Genomic DNA, 19337 nt, shown 5'->3' on the forward strand with positions numbered 1-19337 from the left:
AGCCCTTCATATGTTTTAAGATAGAAGTCATATTTATATAACAAGTTTTTGGCACTTAAGATTTTGTGTCTTAAGAAAAATATAACAAAACAGCTCGCTGACTGTGTAAAGTGTAAACAGGTGATTCCCAGTGATGTGGCTGGCTCTCCTCTGACACCCACAGCCTCAGCTTCCTGGAGTCAGGAAAGGTGTAGCTGGGACTGGGGTGCAATGAGTGAGGCACTTGCCGTCAGTGCAAAGTTTAAGGGAGCACCAAAAACTCAGTCATTAAGATAAGTAACATTTTTTAATTGCAGTAAAACATACACAACATAAAGTTAGCCGTCTGAACTATTTTTAAGTGTACGGTTCAATGGCACTAAGTATTCACATTGTTGTACAAATATCACCTCCATCTACCTCCAGAACTCTTTTCACCTTCCAGAACTGAAACTCTGTACCCAGTAAACAATAACTCCCAAGATTAAAGTTACTTTTTCTTAGGCTATATTTTTGAGAGCAGTTTTAGGTTCGCAATAATATTGGGCAGAAGGTATAGAGAGTTCCCACATATCACCTTCCCCAACATATGCACAGCCTCCCCCATGTCAACATCCCCAACCTGTGGGGTTCATTTGTCACAGCTGATGAACCCATATTGACACATCATGATCGCACAGAGGCCACAGTTTATAGCAGGGTTCCCTCTTGGTGTTGTCCGTTCGGTGGGTTTGGACAAATGCATAATGCCATGTACCCACCCATCGTACTATCACACAGATGTAGTCTCCACACCCTAAGAACCTTATTTGTCCCTTTCCGACTTATTTTTTACTCTTTGCTGATCTTTTTACTGCCTCTCTATTCTTGCCTTTTCCAGAATGTCATATAGCTGGAATCGTACGGTGTGTAGACTTTCCAGATTGGTTTCTTTCACTTACTCATATGCATTTACATTTCCTAATGCAATATTTTTTAAAGATCAAAATTAATGCCAAAAAAAAAAATTCAGGATGAACAAAATACCATTAGTGTCTGCCCTGTCTTCACACTTCAGCTCACACTGCTATCTGATAAAGTAACAGGGTCCGTCCCCTAAGAAAACTGGGGCATTTCCCTTTGACCATTTGCTGCCAACATTTTGTGCTTATTTCAGGAGATCTTCTAAGTGAATTACTAAGTCGGCCGTGACCGTCTAGAAACAGAGTCTGGCGGCTGCGCAGACCCTGCCAGAGCGTTGGGTGCTTTCTTTCTCGTTCCCACCCCTCCCCTGCTGGACGTTTCTGGGAAGTTTCTAGGTGGTGGGTGGTGTAGATTACAGCTGAGAAATTAGCTCAGATCATGCAAATAAATAAGAGGAATGGAGAATCAGCATGGAGCTCTGTCCTCGGCTTCCAGCACAAGCTCCCATCACAGTTTCCAGAGCTTTTACTGGCGTAACTTCAAAATAAGTTCTTTCTGAATTTCAGCAGAAAATTGCTTTCAAGGATGAGAAAATTACTTAGTGATTGCGGAAAAGGAAAAGTACTGAGCCTTCACCAGCTGAGTCTTCTTCCTTTCCCACTCCGCACCCAAAGGGTGCCATCTGAGGTTAGGATCGAGGGGCTGCCGGTGCTGGCAGGTGCTCGTTCTCTCCTGTAATGAGGAGGGGCTCAGACAGGGACGACATCTTCAGGGGGAGACAGCCGTGGGGCCATGGCTCCCCTGAGAGGTGTGTGGGTCATCAGGCCGCACATTTCAAATGAGTGTGAGAGCTCATTGCAGTGAATGGAAAGAAAGGATGAAATTCCTTTTGAGCCTGGTACAGGGAGAGACGTCAGAAAGCTTCATTGCTAATCTCCCTCTGACGGAAGATGGTTTCTGGGCTTCTCAGATGGCAGGGAGTGGCCTGGTCACTGTTGATCTTGAAGGGTGTGGGACCCGTGAAAGTGAAGGAGGAAATGCTCCAGGCCTGACAGCAACCGCAGTGGGGAGATGGGGCAGGAACTGAGGGGTTGGTGCCGACAAGGCCGGACCCGGGAGGGGAGAGGAGCCTGTAGCAATCTGAGGCATGCTGTAGCCCCCTTAGAGCGGGCCTGGCTCCTGGCTGGCAGAGTGGCTCCATGCCATCAAATGCCCTTTCTCCCTCGGGAGACAGGGAAGCAAAGCACTTCCCCTGCTTCCAGGGAATGTTCCTGAAGAGGTCAAGTGGATAGATCATCAGGGACCACAGGAAAGACCAATACCTGCTACTTTCTTATGTTGATTCTTCTATGTCCATTATGAATGTGCCAGTTTCAAAAGAAATGCCTATCATTTCCATTGTTGATTTTCTGGAAATAGCGCTCAGCTTTTAGGGCAGAAGCTACTTTACTTTTATAGTATCTTATCAAAGGCATGGCTGAAAACCTTGCATCTGTCAGCTTTTATAAGTCTTCATGGGCTGTTGGGGGGATAGATTCCACATCCCTCCCGGGAGTTGTAAGCCACTGTAGGCCGTTCCTCAGAGGCAACTTCCCTGCAGAAAAGGGAGACAGAGGCAGAGCGTGGGTCAGAGCCACACGCCCGTGCTCGGGCGCTTTACATTGATTTCATGTCTGCCCTAGACAGCAGATTCGTCTCTGGATTTTACTGACGAGCAGACGAGTGCTCAGAGAATTTAAAGTCAGACAGTGAACGACTAGCGTTGCTGGGAGCCCAGCCTTAGGAGGGCTCAGGCCTCTGTGCTGGCTACTCCTGGAGAGTTGAATTTCCCAGAACAAGGGCAGCGTGGGGGCGGGAGGGAGAGCGGAAGGGATCCAAGGGACATGGGTGCTTTGTGAATGAAGTCAAGTCACACAGTGCATTCGTCCAATATTCTAAGACTTCCTTTTGAGAAATGGAATATTTTGTTATGCGTAGTGCTGGCCTGTGTGCGATAAAATTAAAAGGGAAATCTGGGCTTTTGGTTATTTTTCCAGAAATGGCCATTCTGGGATTCTCAGGACCTAAATCAAACTGGGCCTTCCCTCAGAGAAAGCAAAGGCCTCAGAGATGCTGGTGGCTGATGCAGCTCCCCAGTGCCACCCCACGGCTCCCCATGACCCAATCCAATCCCACCAATGCCCACAGTCCGGAGGCAAGAAGCAGGACACTTTATCCCCTTTGATGCAAGTGAAAAATGAGGTTCAGAGGGGTTAGCAGATTTCCCCCAGTAGCGGGATTTCATCCCAAGTTTCCTGACCACAGGTTTCTACTCTAGCATGGTGCACTGAGAACGGGCCACGTGTTCATCTTGAGGGCCTGAGAGAGGGCTTGTTGTTGAATGGGGAATCTGGGATCCTCTGAGTCTCTGTCCCAGGACTGAAGGATCCAAATTTTCTTTCCTGTTCCTGAGAGAAGAGCCCAGTGCAGCTCCCCAAGCCTGCCAGATGGGCCTAGACATAGGGCTGGGAGATCCAAAGAGCCCTGTGACATTGAATACCTCCAACAAGGTGAACACGATGCATTCATGTTTCTGCAGAAGTGAAAACTCACCCTTGGAGCTGCCCAGGAAGCAAATGCAGTGGCTTTTTCCCCCTGGAAAATCGACCCATGTTGAAGTTTGCCATACAATGAGTATAGCAGCATGCTGCCATTCATTTAATTAAAAATAGCAAAAATGCACCGGGCTCTCAATCATCTATGTTCCCAACAAGAAACTGCGCTGAGACAATCTTCAAAATGGCACATCCCTCACCGCCGAGATTATCTCTATTCCTGAACATGAATGGCAAAGAAAAGAAGCCAAGGCCAGAAGGAAAAGGGAAACCCTTCAGACCACACAGGTGTGTTTCTGTTTCGTCCTCTTTCACAGGGAAGTTCGTACAAAAACAAACAGCACATAAAAATACAACCTCAAGACTTGTATGTTTGTTCCAGCTCTGTCCCGATTTGCATTCCTGTTTTGATTCGTCTTTGCAACATCCTGGGCCTATGATAGTGATTTTTCTTTTCTTCCTAGCAGATTTTCTACTCTTTTGAAGTTAGGAAATGTCCATGGTTTCTTTCAAGCATCTTTGGGTGAGATTTTTTTTCTTTTTTCTTTTTTTTTAAGAGTCAGAGCAGGAAAAGGCCATTCAGCTTATCTTGTCCACTTCCTGAAATCCAAACAAACTCTCAGAAAACTGCCTCACACCCTATCCATTTAGCATATGTCTCAGTACTTGGACAGGAGATTTCAGAGCCATTTCGACTTTATAAAAACTTTTGGAACTGGTTTGAATAGCCTCCAAAGACTTTGAGAAATAACTTAGAAAGTTTGAGACTAAAATTGGTGTGGTTAGTTCCCTCCTAAGGAAATGATTCAGAAAAAAATCCTTTCTTTTCTCAGAGAATTCCATCCAAGTTGGCTGCCCAAAACTTCCCAGCAAACTGATGGCTGATATTTTCAAACTCTTGTCCAAATTCTATTTACCCGTTGAGTGGAAGATCTCGGCCTATTCTTAGAGCTTCCTTTACCCTAACTGAAAAATGGGTTGCGTGATTTGCATGTGATAAAAATGAAGGCTCTTAAAGGAATCTATAATACTTGCCCGCATCAAGTAAAATGTAGCTTAGACTCATTTACAGAATATTAGCGTTCTCACTACGCAAAACAAACAAAAAAGGTAAGAATTTCAGCGCAAACTTCCCCACCAAAATAGTCAAAGCTATCTATCTTAAAAAGCAGTTACCAGAAAGCAGGTGATCTGTACAAACCAACTAATTTTCCAAACACAGTACCATCTCTTGGTGAATACTCAGTGCCTCTCCTAACAGATTTTTTTCCCATTCCAATGTGGAAAAGCAAAAATGTCCAGGAAAGCATATTGCTAACGACTAGGGAGCAGGAAACAGACAATGACGAATTTTCTCATTCGACAGACGGTCTTAGACCATACCTGCTGTGGTCTTGGGAACATGACAAACTGTGGGTTTGTGTGAGTAAGTTCTCAAAGCCACTGCCATTCTGATAAAATTAACTCAAATGGCCATGTTGCTGAATCAACGCGGTTACTCTAGAGGCCTGTGAGGGTTGTGTCCAGTGCTTGCCACCAGGAATCTGTTCGTTGTTATCAGTCCAGACAGTAAATGTATTCATCCATCAACCCTGGCTATTCATGTGGAAACCCTAAGCCAACACTCATCAGAGGAGTCAGGCTGGGCCTGGGCCACAGAGTGAGCCCAGCCTTACAATGTGGGATTTTTTTTTTTTTTTAAATCACACTATCAGACCACAAGATTTGCAGCCATATTTCATTGTCAGAGTTAAAAATAAGACCCAATCCCCAAAAATCATGACATCCAATTCCTTCTATCAAAATATGATTGTTTGGTTTTTTTTTGAATGAATGAATTCCAGTGACATTTATCAAGCATCTTTGATGGAGGAGAGACTATTTATGAGTGAATCATTAAGATAACTTTTGCAAACTCTTGAAGGAGCACATTTTTATTTTTAATCTTAGAAATTTTGGTTACATTTTTTTTCCTGAAATATATTACGAAGTTCCTAACTCTCTTATGAACTGATTTCTTTATTGTGGTAAAATACACAAAACATAAAATTTACTATTCTCACCATTTTGAAGTTTAGAGTTCAGAGTCATGAAGTATATTCGTCTTGTACTACCATCACCACCATCCATAAGAACTGATTATTTTAAACATAAATTAACCTTGTCTGATGAGTTTTGTGCCATGATTACAAATATCCAGTCCTGTGCTGGGTCATTATAGCACTCACAGGGATGAATGAAGTGTTTATGACACCTTATCCAAAATATGGGGTAACCTCAGGATGCTAAGCTTTCTGAGGTCTGGAGATGTTTTTGTATTCCCCTTAGATTTGTTGTTGTTCTTTGTCTTCCTCCATCAGGTTGTAGGCAGTCATTTTTATCTACTTTCAATGCACTCGCCTGAGGCATCTACCCTTTCCTAATGACTGCAGGGGAAGCCAATAATCAAACTGGTTAGAATTATACTCAACCAGGAGTCCCAGTGTGGAGAAAGACTCCCTGTGAGTAAAGGTCAAAAATACCCTGGCAATGCACCCCATGATGTGCATCTGGGCACTTTGTAAAATATTTTTGCTTCTTTCAGGATCTCAACTTGGTCTCAGAGTGTAATGATTGACATATATCTGACCTGTGGATGAAGGAGGACTTATTCTTGTGTTATCTTGGTTGCCTTAAGCTTCCCTTAACATCAAAAGGCAAAATACACTAATAACATCTGGCAGCCTAGTCCCAACTGTGAAAGCAAGAGAAAATTCAATTTAAAAGACAGAAAATTAAAGCAAACCTCCCCTTTAGGTAGCTATCATTTCCTGCCGTAGAAATAAAAGACAGATCCTTTCTATATTTGCTCTCGATTTGTCATGAACATAATATTTTTCTCCTGAAACTACTACTACATATGTACCCAGGTAGAGAAATAAACCCTGGCCAAAGCCTAAACATTTAGAGCAACCAGAAAGCAGGCAACACTAGAAGGGACTGAATCAGGTGGGTCAGCGACGCGTTCAAATATCTTCTCTCTTTTCGGTTTCAGTATTTGCTGGACGGACAAGTATTTTCTCTGAGTATCTGCCACCAGCACTTAATTTTGGTCTTTAATTAAGTCAGTGGTTCTCAACTGGGAGTGACTTTGTCTGCCCAGGGGACATCTGGCAATGTCTGGAGACATTTTGATTATCAGTGCTGGGGAGGAGGTGCTCTTGGCATCTCCTCTTGGTAGAGGCCAGGGATGCGGTTAAATATCCGCACAGGACTGCACCCATAACGAAGAAGTGTTTGGCCCTGATGTCCGAAGTGCTGAGGGTGAGAAACCTCACTGAGCTGCCGAACTAAGCGAGCCAGGGAGTAGTAGGAGGAAGAGGTGGGAGCCGAGGGAAGGAGAGGAAAGTGGGCACCCTAGCACTAGGAGGAAGAGGTGGGAGCCGGGGGAAGGAGAGGAAAGTGGGCACCCTAGCACTATCAGTAGGTCACAGAGGTGCAGCGAGATTTATGAAATGTTTGTGGGTAGGAAGAGTCCCTAAAAGTTGATTTGTGAAGCTAGAGGACTATTGCTTATTGAGGTTTGATGCTCAGTGTGAATGTGACCGGTCGTGGTAAGGAGTTGGGGCTGCAGGGAGGAGCCCAGCCAAACACTCCAAGAGCTGCCTCTAAGGGCAGGGGACAGACGTTGTCTCGGGTCTGGAAAAGGGACTTGACTCCAGCTTGATCTTTAAAGAATGTGATGCTCAGAAGAAACCCAATTAATCAATAATAATCAAAGAAACACTCAAGCTCTTCATAATCAAGAAAACACAAATTGAGAAATTGGAGTGCCCTTTTCACCCTTCAAATGGCCACATTCCTTTTTTTATTTTTATTTTTTTGAGACAGAGTCTCACTGACTCTGTCACCCAGGCTGGAGTGCAGTGGCGTGATCTCGAATCACTGCAACCTCTGCCTCTTAGGTTCAAGCAATTCTTCTGCCTCAGCCTCTCAAGTAGCTGGGATTACAGGCGTGCACCACCACACCTGGCTGATTTTTGTATTTTTAGTAGAGACAGGGTTTCACCATGTTGGCCAGGCTAGTCTTGAGCTCCTGACCTCAGGCGATCCACCTGCCTCAGCCTCCCAAATTGCTGGGATTACAGGTGTGAGCCACCGTGCCCCGCCAAAATGGCCACATTTTAAAAAGTCTGACAATATCAGTTTGTGTTGTTTGTCTCTCAATATGGTTTTGGTTTTGCAGAGACTGTGTACTCTTGTATTACTTGTGTACTGAAACAGTCATAATTGTTATCTACAGGATCAAGTCCATCTGACAAGTTATAAAATGCCAGTCAGGACCCACTACATTTATTTTGTGATCCGTTCATGTTCGTGAACCGTGGTCTGAAAAACACACCCCTAGAGGAAGGAAACTTGTATGAGGACGTGGTTTAAATGTTGTGTTGTGTGATGGTTAATTTTAGGTGTTCATTTGGCTAGGCCACAGTACCCAGACATCTGGTCAAACACTATTCTATATGTTTCTGTGCAGGTGTTTTTTCATGGATTAATTTACATCAGGAGACTTTCAGCAAAGCAGAGTATCCTCCATGATGTGAGTGGGCCTCATCCCATCATTTGAAGTCCTTAAGGAAAAGACTGACCTTCCTTGAGCCAGAGGGAATGTTCCCAGCAGATGGTCTTTAGACTCAAAGACAACTTCCCTAAGTCCCCAGCCTGCCAGCTAAACCTGCACTGTGGGAACTTGCCAGCCCCACAATGGCATGAGCCAAGTCCTCAAACTATACTTCTCATCCTCTCTCGAATGTTGAATTTTGTTATGAAAAATACCTGGGTCACCTAGGATAGGATGCTAACATCTGTCCTTTCTAGACGGTGGTTGTAGTGGGTTGAATAGTGTCCCCCCGCAAAAAAAATACATCCACCCATAACCTGTGAATGTGATGATATTTGGAGTCTTTGCAGACATAATTAAGTTGGGGATTGGAGATGAGATCATCTTGGATCAGAGTGGACCCTAAATCCAATGACAAGTGCTTACCATCACAGACTCCAGTTTTGCTTCGAAAATTCTGAAACTATTCTAAAAAAATATGTTAATGTATTTGAGAGAAAATGAAGACACAACATAAAGGTGTGATGACTCTATCTGACCTGCACAGCAGCTCTTAAGCAGCCCTTGTCCCTCTTGGGTAGAATAAATTTATACAGTAGAATGTATACATTCTAGTTTATACATTAGAATATGGTCTTAGACCTTCCCGCCAGTCCTCTCACCCTCTCTCCCTCACTTTAGCAATGCTGGAAGCCAGGGGCTCCAGACGGCCCAGCTACAAGATGGAAGTGGCAAGGATCCCGCTCACCCGAGGAGAGTTGGCCTGGAGAGCTGCCTGACCCAGCCTTTAATGAGCAAGAGGTAAACTTTTCTTACGTCACTGAGACCTTGGGGTTTGTTTCCACAGCATGACCTGTTTTTCCTGACTCATACAAGCCCCTGGAAGCATCTGACTCACTAATCCATTGACCTTCTCTAACATCAGCATTTACGGATCCTGCCATCAAAATTCTTCATTCATTATGAGGGCTCAGTCAGTTCTCCTTAGGATTATTAAACCATTAGTAAAAGTGCATTAAAATCAGCTTATAATCTCTTCCAGTGGGATTTCACAAATATCACTCCATAGCCAAATGGTTTACCGTTCTCTTCTGACTCAGAAAAGCATATTGTAATTAGAACACTTTTTGCACAATAATAAAAACAAAACAGCTTTCACAGGTTGCGCTGGATGTCAAACGTGGGTAAACCACTCAATTTTGAGCTCAGCTTGGCACAGGTTTATTTATTTACAGGCACTTCAAAAAGAAGGGGGTAGGCCACATCTACATAGCCCAGGGTGTGGAGCGTGGATGTGTCTGTCTGTTTGTTATGACTAAGTCTTGCTCAGTCCTAATTCTTCCTGGTCAAAAATTGTTATTTTTAAAAGACTCCTTGAACACAAAACCCTTCAGATGTGATGGAGATGTGGCCAAGGGAAGCAGGGAAGTGTGGTGATGTTGTGATGTGAATGCAGGCTCTGAGCCCAGATCCCAAATCCTGACACCCACCAGCAGCTGTGCATGTTTGAACTTATGAACCCATTTCCGCAGGTGGAAAATGGGTGAGTAAGCTTACCCTCGGCCTTGTCAGGAACATGAGAAGGCCTCAGTAGGGAGCCTGGCTAGTCCTGCCCCCAGGCTTAGCGGCGGCTCTTCCTGAAGTCCTGCTGACCGGAAGGAACGTCACAAACATCTCCTGCCCACAGGTGAAGGAGGCCTGGGGAAGATGGAGGAGGCGGCCCATCTCTAGGCACCTTCCACGGAACACTGGCCCCCACACGCCAACCGTGCAACAGCCCCGTCCTGGCAGCTGATCCCTTAGCTGTCCGGGAATTCCAAGCACATCTTTGGAAGAGCTAGTTGGGTCCTTTCTGGGGGCATGGAAAGGAGGACCAAGGTCTTATCTGACTGAGGTGAGGAGCAGACACCACGGGGAGTAGGGAAAGAGAAAACTGCAGCCCAGAAGGCGCTTCCTTTACAGAATCCCGAGGCCAACTCAGGCAAATGTCAAGAGCAGGAAAAGCCACCAACTTCAATTCAATTAAATGCATAGGACCGACTTTCAAGAAGGAATAATCTGGGTATTGACAAGCTTGAATTCAAGTTAATGCAAGAGAGAGAGGTCTTGAAGGACATTCATTAAACTGTTCCTGGTTATCCCTGGACGGCGGCAGTTGGGGTGATGTTCACGTTTATTTTACAAAAGCAATTAAGCTACTTTGAATAAAGGAGGAAAAGGAAACATGAAAGAAGTACCCAAGTTCTGAGTCAGAGATCTGACTTCAAATCCCAATTCCACCACCACCAGCTGTGACCATGAGTGGTCCCAGCATTAATGAGGGCCTCAGTTTCTGCATCTGCGGAACGGGAATAACAGTATCTACCTCCTAGGATTATCAAAGCTTAAAGTGGATAATTTAGGATATGCCAAACATCTGGAATCGGGCTCAAAAAGTGGTAAAGAATTTTGAAGATATTTTTCTTTAACACTCCAAAACAACTTTCAGGGAAAGTCATTTTTCATGGAAGGTGCTGACTTTATTGGAGACTGACCATCTCCTCATCACAGTCTACTCCAGAAAAATCAGAGGGAGGTGGGGAATGTTGTACCCAACTTTCTAATGTCTCTAAGACGTGGGTGGCAAGGGTAGGCTGTTAGCACTCCAGAATAACGTTGCTATGCACCCATTCAGGGCTTAGCCTCACAGCCAAACTGAGATCCAGACCCCAGAGAAGCCGCGTGAATCAACAGCAACTCTGCAGCCCCCGACCCCAGCCCTGGCGTCCCACTCACTGAGGCTCTGGCCAGGTGGCGGTGACTCAAACCTTCTCCATTTTAACTTGGCATCTCAGAGCTTCTGGACAGAGTCCACAAATACATGAGACAAAAATAGGCCAGCATACCCTCCCTTGCCAGGCCCTCATTGTTGAGGGATGAGATGAGGGCTGGGCAAGCGGTTACACAGCCGAAACCAGGGCCCTAGAACCCAGCTCTGCCAGCATGGGCGCCCCACAGCTCTGCCCACAGCGTCTGCTCTTTATTCTTGGTTTCTCCTCTCCTTCTCTTCCACTTCCCATTCTTTGTGATCCATCTTTTTCCAAAAGTTGACAGGTTGGCTGGAGACAATTCCCCCTGCCAGCTTTTCTGTCTTTTCCACCTTTAGTTTAAGTTGTCCATGAGGGCTGGTGATCCATTTTCGGTCCTCCATACCTTCCTGGGCAATCCCTCTGGGCCCTCACACCTCCACGCCCTCCACCCTCCCAGCTCCTTCCTCCCGGGGCCTCGAGCTTTTCCCTTTTTTCATCCTCTGTGCACTGTTTCACCCCGACATGTATGTTATTGTTTGACTGTGGCATCAGCCATTCTTGGAGACTTTTCCCAGGGCTTGCAATTTTGTAGCAGAGAGAGATTTTCTATCTAAAGCAAAATGCTGGTCTTGTTTAAATAAATAATAAGATAAAAGAATCAGGCACTGTAGGGGTATTTGGCCCACAGCCATCCTGTCTCAGCAGGGTCCTTTTCATTGAGGGAAGCATTTTTCATATCCATAATTTGCCCCTTTCTCTAACCCAGGGTGCACGCTGCCGTGGCCCTTGGTGACAATGTCCCCTGTGGCCTTCCTCCAAAGCTTGCTCCAGCAAGCTCTGACATGGTGTCCTCCCTCCCCTTCTGGGCTGCGGCTTCTCCAACCTCCCCCAGCTCCTGCAGACAGAGGAGAAACAGCAAGTCACAAGATAAGACAAAGACCCTCTAGGCCAGGCCACTCCTCGCTGCCACTCTGGGACAGCAAGGCAAAACGCAGACGGCCCCAGCTCTGGACGCCTCTCCTCCTCTGGACCCTAACCCTAACCCTAAGCCACTGGAACACTCACGGGAGAAAGCTGGACCTGCTTTGAGGCTCACCTCCCTGCATGCACATCCATCCGGCTTCTCTCAAGAAGCAACCTGGTGTCTGAGAGCCGTTGAGTCTTCATCCCAGCTCTGGTATTTCTCTCATGTGGCCACATAACCTTGAATGTCTGACCTTCAATTTCTTCATCTGTACAGTGGTGAAGATGATCCCCACTTTGCTAGGTTGTTGTGAGCATTACCTAAAAGAAAATAGGTGCTATGGCGGCATGTTTGTTGAGCTAGGAGGACTCGGAACAAAATTAGCTTCTGCACCGGCTGTGCTGGAGCCAGGCAGGCCGCTCCGGTGTGGCCCTGTTTTTCCTGGTTTGTGTCCCAGGAACCTGCCAACCCTCATTGTCCCGGATTTTCCCTTTGACTCCAAAAGCCGTGTCTTTCTTATCAAGCCTCTTTATTTTTGTTATTATCCCGTCAACATACTCCCCTCTGATTCGCCCCCACTAATGACTCGCGCCCTTTCCAAAGTCCCAGCACACCGCGCTTATAATCTCTTTCAGCTGTCCTTAAAAAGGTTCTATTTGTCCCCTCCGCCCCGCTCAGGGGCGCCCGGACTCTGGGGCCCGGCCTTCGCGGGCTCCCGGGTTCCTCCCATCGCTTCCCTCACAGTCCTGGCCGCAGGGCAGCGGGTTTCGCACGGGAGGGAAGGTTTGGATGGCTAACGCCCAGGGTTGGTCTTCCCTGTGTCTTTTATGGGAACACGTTCCTGCCTGCGCCCCACGGGACAGAGCCGTTTTCCCGCCCCGCCACGCCGCGCCCGCAGGCCCCGCTGCCCGCAGCCTCTTCCCGACGCCCCAGGCCGTGCGCCCCCCCGAACCGGGCCCACCGCGTGCTGTGCGGGGCTTCCGCGCCTGCGCACGAACGCTTCTGCGAGCTTTCTCGGAAGCAGCTGGGGGGCGGGGAATCTGCTGAGGAACGGCGCTTTATAAATCAAAAGATAATAATAACAGAGCTTACGGTGAGCACCGGAGGCTGGAAACGGGGTGGCATCCGCTCGGGGCGGGGCGGCGTCGCCAGCGAATGACAACACTGCCCCCTGGTGGCCGATGCGGCCAGGCCCGAGAGAGCGCAGGCCGGGTGCGAGCCAGGCTTCCTCACCACGCGGCTTCCCCACTCATCCCATAGAAACCGTAACTGAGCAAATGACGGTAAGTCCCCAGGAAGCGTTAAGGCCAGGAAGCAGCACAGGAGAAAAACCCGAATCCCATTTTTTTAGAGTAGGGATTTATTTGTTGTCCCCAGATAGCAAGCTGAATTTCTGAATAGTTCAGAGCTCACAAAAGAAGCCAAGACCTTTCAGGGCATTTTATAATGTTGCTTTTTATAAACAAAATATTGAAACCACTACTATCACTGTCACTGGGGGATTACTGTTGAGCAGAAATGCTTGTGAAACTCCCAAAAGAAAGGGTCGTTTGTGCTTCTTTGGCATTAAGTAAAAATGTCCTGTTTGGTGTGTACACGTTTTCATATTTAATTATTCACACTGTGCACTTTATATATAAACTCAGCACTTAGGTTCTCTGTGAGCCAGAAACCTGGCTTCTGTGCTCATCCATAGACCCAGTGAGAGTGTAGAAGCCAAGCCTGGTGGAGCCTGTGTCTACCAGGGCATTGCAGTAAAGCTTCTACCACTCACTGTAAATACCTCCCATCGAGGCTGAGGAAAAGTTGTAGCATACTTGGAAATTGGGGTGGAGTATTGTCATCCAAAAAGGCATATTTCTTTTGGTGTTTTCCATACCCGGCTGTGTCATTGTGAAGCCTCAGCTCTCCCAATCTCCCCATAAACTGGAGGAATCCTAGTGTTTCCTGTCCTGCCACATTATGTGTGGGGAAGATTTTTTTTTTTTTTTTTGAGACAGAGTTTCACTCTTGTTACCCAGGCTGGAGTGCAATGGCGCGACCTTGGCTCACTGCAACCTCTGCTTCCTGGGTTCAAGCGATTCTTCTGCCTCAGCCTCTGGAGTACGGAGCTGGGATTACAGGCACCCGCCACCATGCCCGACTATTTTTTGTATTTTTTAGTAGAGACCGGGTTTCACCATGTTGGCCAGGCTGGTCTCAAACTCCTGACCTCAGGTGATCCACCCGCCTCGGCCTCCCAAAATGCAGAAAGAGTCTTAAGATGGATTTTTAGTAAGTACTTCAAGCGGCTTTATGAAAGCTACCGTCAGTAAAGTAGAAAACTATATATGCACATATTTAGATATGGAGCTCCCACGGAGGAAGTGCTCTGACAGGTCAAATCTGCCCCCAAAATAAGTTGATAGAACTTCAAGGAAGCATGAAAGCGGCCTTGCTGTGCATTTCATTTTATGGAGCGTAAGTGCCTAATAAATGAATGTGTGGGTCTGAAGAAAGTGATATTTTCTAATGAAGTTATAAGTGTCGCAGTCCGGAAAAGTAGAACCCAAACAAACACAAAAAGGAGCGTGCAAGGCCCACGCCGCGCTGCACAGACTCTCCCCACCTGGTGAATGCTGACCTGGGGCCAGGCCACAGGCAGGGAGAGAAAGGTCGCCGGCATGAACACCAGGTGACCCCGTGAAGTGTGTGCTTCTGAGAGCAGGGGTCCCCCAAGTGAAGTGGGCGATGGCCTCCACCACCTTGAGAGCTCGTCATCCACTGTTTTTAACACTGCCTTCTGTTTTGCTTTAGTTCTGCTAAGATACACCTAACATAAAATGGACCCTCTTAACCTTTTTTAAGTGTGCAGTTCAATGGCATTAAGTACATTCACATTACTATGCAACCATCACCGTCATCCATCTCCGGGACTTTCTCCTCTTCCTAGATGGAAACTCTGGCCCCACTACACACCAACTCCCCATCTTCTCTCCCCCGTTCCAGTTGCTGTCTTTGTGAATTTGACCACTAGGAACCTCACACAACGTTTATCCTTTTTATCACAGGATTACTACACTTAGCAGGATGTCCCCCAGGCTCATGCACGTTGTAGCGTGTCAGGGTTTCCCTCCCTGTTAAGGTGAGTCGCGTTCCATCATACGCACCCATCACGTCTTGCTTATCCATTGATCTGTCCATGGATCCATGGACGCTTGGGTTGTTTCCACCTTCTGCCTAATGTGAATAACACTTCTGTGAACACGGGTGTACACGTAACTCCTTGAGACCCTGCTTTCGATTCCTTTGGATATATACCCGGAAGAGGATTGCTGGATAACGTGGTGATTCCGTTTAATTTTTGGAGGAGCCACTGTACAGATTTCCGCGCGGCCGCACAGCTTTTCCGTCCCACCCGCGGTTCCGAAGGGCCCACTTTCTCCACGTCCTCCCCAACGTTGTTGTTTCTGGATTTTTGACAGAGGCCATCCTGATGAGTACGAGGTGGTAGAGCTGCCTGCTTTTTGATTAATGTGACGATCACACCCTCTGCCTGGGAGTTTTACAGACTGGTGATGACTTTTTGTGGCATCTCAGGAAAGAACATAACTTCGTGGACGTCCTTAGTCAGAATCTACTCAGTGTATCTACTCAGTATAGGCTCACATGAGCCCTCACCTTCCCAGGGAGTCACAACCTCTACTATACTTCTTCTTTCTGCTCTGCCCCCCACAAACGGCCCTGCCAGCCCTCACCACCTAGAGGGAGATTGGGAGCCGGTAGAGGAAAGACACCCTGAATCCCCGAGGTCAAGCAAAGCCCTGGGGAGGCGCCGTGGGATCCCTGCCTCGGGCCTGCCTAGACAGTATGTGAATGAGTATCCCAGAGATTCTCCCCGCTGTGACCTCGAGGGCCAGCCTGCCTGTGTGGCCGTGAGCTGCTTTCTTCCCAGAGGAACTTGCTTGCGGCAGCAGGACTCCACAGCCTCAGGGGCAGCTTGGGTATGTGTGTGTTCCTGTGCCACGGTTATATGTCCGTTTGGGTGTGTGTGTTTCTGTGTGTGTGTGTGTGTGTGTGTGTGTGTGTGTGCGCGTGCGGGGGTGGGGGGTGTTTGGCAGGACCAATGTGTCTTGTATACTCAAGGGCGGATTCTTTCAAGCCAGCCTTCTTTCTGATGCTCTGCTCCCTGCGTTTCCACTCGTGCTGTGTGGCTGGTTAATATTTGTTTATCGTGTGCTTCCCATTAAAATGTCTTTAGGCCAGCCGGGTGTGGTGGCTCACGCCTGTAATCCCAGCACTTTGGGAGGTTGAGGTGGGCGGATCACGAGGTCAGGAGATCAAGACCATCCTGGCCAACATGGTGAAACCCCGTCTCTATTGAAAATACAAAAATTAGCTGGGCATGATGGTGCGTGCTTGTAATCCCAGCTACTCGGGAGGCTGAGGCAAGAGAATCACTTGAACTCAGGAGACAGAGGTTGCCGTGAGCCAAGATTGCGCCACTGCACCCCAGCCTGGTGACAGAGTGAGTCTCCATCTAAAAAAAAAAAAATTTCTTTAGGCCGTGGCAAAGTGGGGAGCTGCGTCCGTTGGGTGAAGGTCCAAATCACCTCCCCATCCCAAGGGGTCACTTCTCTAGAGGGAATATGACACACGCAAGAACCAAAACCCCAGAGGAGCTGCCTGTCCAGCTTCAAGAAAGGTTCAGACAGATGTCCAAGGTGGTGGATGGAACTCCTTTTCCCCTTTTCCTCTCCTTGCAAAATCTAGCCACATCATGGCCCAACGATGGAGAAGAAGCTGAGAACTTGGCAAGGATCTCTTTTCCTCCAACTGTGGCCTTTCTGGCTAGGCCGCCGGTTGGGCACTCATTCCCAGCTCCACACGGCAGTGGCCTTGCTGCGTTCTGCCTTGCTCTTTTTCTGTCTACACTGCCCTCACCCTTTTTCTGTCTTCCATGTTCCTGCTGGGCCTCAATTTTTCTTGATCTGGCTCAGAGTCTTCAACCAGCCACATTTCCCAGTTCATCCGGGATCTTTTTTTCCTTCTCCAAACCTCTCTCTGCATGGTTGGGCAGGTGGGAGGATCCTGGAGCTCTGGGTTTCCATACCTGTCGCCCACACAGACATTCCCTTGGTCTCCAGGGTTCAAGCAGACGGCGGCATGACCCTATAGGATGAGCGGTAGCCAAGCGTGGCTGGCCTTTGCCTTCTAAGAAAGGTGGAGTTTCCTGGCATCTACAGTGCCTTCGCCACTCTTGAGGGATATCCAGCCCCTCTGCTCCCGGGTGGGACTGCCTCCCAGCACTAAGTCTTCTGACTGCCACGGATTTCACTGAGCCAAGTGGACTGAGGGTTGGCCTGCTGCAGCTGAGGGTGTGTGTGCTGTCACCAGCATAGGGGTGGGAGTGGCTGGCACATCACAGGAACGTCTTGGGTCTTCTGGCAGGCATCCCTGAAGGTGGCTTGGACCCCAGTGTGGCCCTCTTGGGGTCCTCAGGTGTGCTTGGCCTTTCCTTCACTTTATTGGTGAGGGGGTCGTCAGTCTTGGAATGGCTCTATACCTCCTCGGAGACACACACTCACTCCACCTGCTAGAGAGCCTGGTCACAGCGCCTGCTTCCGCTGCCTGAGGGTGAGTTCCTGAGGATCAGCACAGCAGGAGCCTTCTGTGGCAGTGCCTCAGTGTCGTGCTGCTGTGGCCTGTTTTTTCCAGGGTGTCGCCGGGATGGTCCTGGGATCTTAGGAGTCGCAGAGGGCCGACCAGGATGAACAAACGTCAATCAGAGCCCCAGTGATGCACTGCGGGATCCCTGTCTCAGTCCTGCCTAGGTGATGTGTGGATGAGTCTCCCCTGAGATCGTCCCACTGTGACTTCGAGGGCTGGCCTGCCTGTATGGCCATGGGCTGCTCTCTTCCCAGAGGGGCTTCCTGGCAGCCGCAGAACCCCGCAGCCTCAGGGGCAGCCTGGGTGTGTGTGTGTTTTTATACCACGGTTGTATGTCCGTCTCTGTGTGTGTGTATATGTCTGTGTGCATGTGTGTGTGTTTGTGTGTTTGTGTGTGGGGGGTTGTGTGTTTGTCATGTCAGGCAGGACCAATGTCGCTTGTATACGCGAGGGCAGATTCTTGAAGGTCACGCTTCTTCCTGGTGCACAGCTTTCTGCGTTTCTGCTTCAGCTGTGTGGCTGGTTGGCATTTGTTGATCTTGCATGTCCTGTTTGGGTTTGTTTAGGCCTCGGCAAAGTGGGGAGCTGCCTCGGTCCAGCAGGGGTCCAGATCACCTCCTCATTTAGAGGGACCATGTCTCTAGAGAGATGACATGCCAAAAACGGAAACCTCACAGGAGCTTTTTGTCCACCTGCAAGCGAGGTGCAGACACGTTTGAGATGGTGGATGGACTTTTTTTTTTCTCTTTTCTCTCTTTCCAAAATCTGGACACACCATGGCCCAGTGATGGAGAAGAAGTCGAGGACCTGTCAAGGATCTTCTTTCTTAGGAGTGGCGGAGGGCTGACCAGTCTCAATAAAGCACAGGGGGAGCCCCTGTGACCCAGCGTCTGGGTGGCAGCCTGTGGACAATCTGCAGCTCATCTGGATCACGCAGCTCAGCTGAACTCACAGCCCGAGGTCCAGCACTGCCCAGGGGCTGGCAGCCGTCCTGCTTGGGTGGGGCTCTGCAGGATGGGCAACCACACGACGGTCTCCCTGGGAGCCTGGGAAAAGGGAGGATTCACAGATTACAAGGGGACAAGACCCTGTTGGACAAAAATGACCAAGTGGGAAGCTGCCTAGCTCTGACCAGGTCTGGGAACACACTGGGATTGGAAGTCATCTAAATATAGCCTGTTTATAGACTGCGATCTGACTTTCTCAGGCACTGTTTGTATGAGAGCTGGTAACTATAGCACAATTTTTCTAAACTGGTCATTTTCAACACTGACTTTTTATTTGCATTTGAAATGATTTTATTATTGGCACCAGAGAACTAGAACCTCGGACTATTGCTGTGGCTGAAAGCTACGCACAGCTTTCCATGAAATCTTAATTTATCAGCCTGTTTGGGTGTTTGAACATTTAAAGCAAGCAAGATAAAAGAATCTGAAGGGATTGCTTCTTTTCACATCTTGTCATTCATCCGGCTTTGTTTTTAACTGCTCAGTTCAGTTCACTGAAAGTCTGTATTAATGCTTCACCCATCCACAGAGGTGTAAATATGAATGACAGTGGGAGGAAGATAATCCCATAGTCTTGGGACAGTGGGGCATCCAAATACCTGCACGACAAAGGAGTAAAGAGACTTAGTAGGAAATCCAAGTTACCCTTTTCCCCCTCACTGCAGGCATTCCCCAGGTTTCAGGAATCAACGCCTGCATTTGCTTTCATCCTTTCTCTTAGCCAGTGGTCCCCTCAACCACGGCTATCTCTGAGAATCCCCTGGGCAGATTTTCAAAGTTCCATGCCCAGCCATGCCCAGGGTGCACCCCAGACTGGTCATCAGGTCCCAACCCTTGGGGTGGGTGTGCAAA

General features: G+C 48.0%; 2 long non-coding RNA genes across 3 annotated transcripts, besides 1 other annotated feature; one reads left to right on the forward strand and one right to left on the reverse strand.

Moving 5' to 3' along the window:
- Positions 1 to 269: 269 nt before the first annotated feature.
- On the reverse strand, positions 270 to 12960 carry LINC01600 (long intergenic non-protein coding RNA 1600). Its single transcript, NR_131168.1, has 3 exons — positions 12922 to 12960; positions 11962 to 12149; positions 270 to 2476 (listed from the first exon to the last, which is right to left on the reverse strand). It is a non-coding gene; the product is annotated as a long intergenic non-protein coding RNA 1600 (long non-coding RNA).
- Positions 12857 to 18916, forward strand: LINC02521 (long intergenic non-protein coding RNA 2521). 2 transcript variants are annotated; one of them, NR_149118.1, is made up of 4 exons: positions 12857 to 13112; positions 14880 to 14953; positions 15294 to 15812; positions 18045 to 18916. It is a non-coding gene; the product is annotated as a long intergenic non-protein coding RNA 2521 (long non-coding RNA). The 2 variants fall into 2 exon arrangements; NR_149119.1 differs by lacking the exon at positions 14880 to 14953.
- Positions 17774 to 18289: an enhancer, noted in NCBI's record as "NANOG-H3K4me1 hESC enhancer chr6:2639651-2640166 (GRCh37/hg19 assembly coordinates)". NCBI's record gives its function as "activates a minimal SCP1, AML or CMV promoter by ChIP-STARR-seq in naive H9 embryonic stem cells {active_cell/tissue: H9 hESC(naive)}" and the evidence as "EXISTENCE:reporter gene assay evidence [ECO:0000049][PMID:30033119]".
- Positions 18917 to 19337: the final 421 nt, after the last annotated feature.

The sequence above is a fragment of the Homo sapiens genome, chromosome 6, assembly GCF_000001405.40.
Source record: "Homo sapiens chromosome 6, GRCh38.p14 Primary Assembly".
Classification (NCBI taxonomy): Eukaryota; Metazoa; Chordata; class Mammalia; order Primates; family Hominidae; genus Homo; species Homo sapiens.